Here is a 2462-nt window from a genome sequence, read left to right on the forward strand (position 1 = left end):
TCCTGTAAAGAAGAATTTCAAATAATTCACATAGGAGCCCCACTCCTCAAGTGCAGACCATTCGTATGATTTCTTTCTAAAGCGTGCAGTATGGAGAGTTGAGAGAGGGTTTGAGAAAATAGTAACTTCAGACAGTGAAGAAACTTGGCAAAGACGACCTCAGCCAAATGAGAAAGGTTAATGTGAACAGTAATAAGTTATGTTAATTGTATGAATCCTCCAAATGATGTGATACAAATGGCACTTTACCTCTGTGACCTTTCTCCGAAATACTCATAATCCCAGTATAATCATGACAAAAACATCAGACAACTTCCAATTAAGGGACATTCTAGAAAATACCTGACCAGTGCTCCTCAAACTGTTAAGGTCATCAAAAACAAGAAAGGCTGAGAAACTATCTCAGCCAAGAGGAGCCTAGAGAGACATAATTAAATGTAATGTTGTATTCTGAATAGAATTCTAGAACAACTAAAAAAGGACACTGGGCAAAAGGAAGTCTGAATAAAATATGGATTTTTGTTATAATAATCTATTAATATTGGTTCATTAATTATAACAACTGTACAAATTAATTATAACAAATGTACCATTCTAATGTAAGATGTCAATAACAGGGGAACCTGGTTATGGGGAACTTATCGCTAACTTTGTAGTTCTTTGGTAAATCTAAAATTATTCTACAGAGAAAATTTTATTTTTTGTAAAAAAGGAACTAGCTGGAGATCACGTGACTGAAAAAAAGTATAAAGGAAATAAGACCTTCCACTACAGAGTATAAACAATTAAGTATGAACACCACTTCATAGTTGTAGAAACTATTATTACAGACATCTGTAATACCAAAAGTAAATGTATGTTTTCCAAATGTTTTCAACACTTAATCAAGTATTTACATTTACATTTTAGAATAATTTCTCTATTCAAGATTTCTCACATGCTTATACTCTAGAAATAAGTTTTTAAATGATAATATCATGTATACTTTTATGTGTTAGTAATCCTGAAACTCATAGGAACACTTAATTTATCTTTCTCTTATGCTAACAGCTGGTAATATTAATAAATATTAAAATACTAAAATTTAGTCTAATAGTTACAGGCAACAAAGCATATTTATTTGTTTAAAAAATCCAGGCTTAAAAAATGAGATCAAGGAAAAAAGATTAAAAACAAGGAAATAGTCAGTTGATAAGCCTAAAAAGTGGTTTAAAAACATTTTAAATGACAATTTAAAAAAGTTTTATGCAGCAAGTGGCAATCTACTACGTTCAATCTTTAAACAAAAAATAAATCTTAAAATAATTTGAAATGCATTATTAATTAAAATTAGGGAGAATGTTTATGTATGACTAAAGAAAGATAGCTTTACACATCTCTGAAGTAGTCTGAGATCACTAAATGCATATATTCATTTATTTATTTAGAAACATTTATAGTCAATTACAGATAAAATAGATGATTTCTAAGTTGCCCTAAATTTCTAGCTAAACTAAAAAGGCAAAAAACAAAACAATAAAACCTCTGATGTAAGGTCAATAGTGAAAATGCAGATCAGAAATCACTATTTTATTATCGCTATCAATTATATTGAAATCAGTTGATATCATTTTCAAAAGACAAAGGAAAGTAGATAAAGGGAAGCCATAAAGGTGGAGGCAGGTGCTTTTGTAATTCATTAGCTATATTTGTTACAGCCTTTGAAGACAGATATGACAAGCATGATTATGACTTTCCTTTGAGGCCCACATTCAATGGCAGATTAGTAACCTGATAAGTTTTCTATATTTATCTTCATAACAGAGATCCATTTTCAAATCAGCCCACACAAAGCATGGTTTCTTTTATGTTATTGCAACATCCAGTGATAGGATAGGCCATCTGGAGAAATTGGCTGGGGTATGCTGATTACTCAAGAGATACATGTAATGAATAGTCGTTACCCCTGTGGAGCTGCTAGGAGGCCAGTGAAATTTTTCCTGAATGGCGAGTTAGTTAGTTAGAATAACTTCTCTCAGATTAAACTATTGCTATTTTAAGGGAGAAGAGTGTCTTGTTTGCTTACGTGAATCAATGGAGAGTAAAGGACAACAGAGCACTGAGCTCAGTTCACATTTTGCTGTGCATAGTAGGAAAGGGTATGGGTGAGTAAGTTGTCTTAAAGGCATATATGGATATTCTAATTATTACTTCAAGGAAGTATACTTCCTATTCCTTGGACTGGTGAAAATCCAGTCAGTTTCAGCCTAGACATAAGGAAATGGGCCGGAGTATGCCCACCATAGAAAGACACAAGTCACTTCTGAAATGCACGCTAATTTTTCTGCTTTTGTCCAGGGTTTCTTCTTTCTAAGAAAAGAAATGTACTTTCTTATCTTCTATTTTGTAGTTATCAGTTAGGAAACTTTTGTTGATCATCCCTCATATGTTAACACTCTTCTGGGCACCAGACCACATGGGCT

The sequence above is a fragment of the Homo sapiens genome, chromosome 4, assembly GCF_000001405.40.
Source record: "Homo sapiens chromosome 4, GRCh38.p14 Primary Assembly".
NCBI lineage: Eukaryota > Metazoa > Chordata > Mammalia > Primates > Hominidae > Homo > Homo sapiens.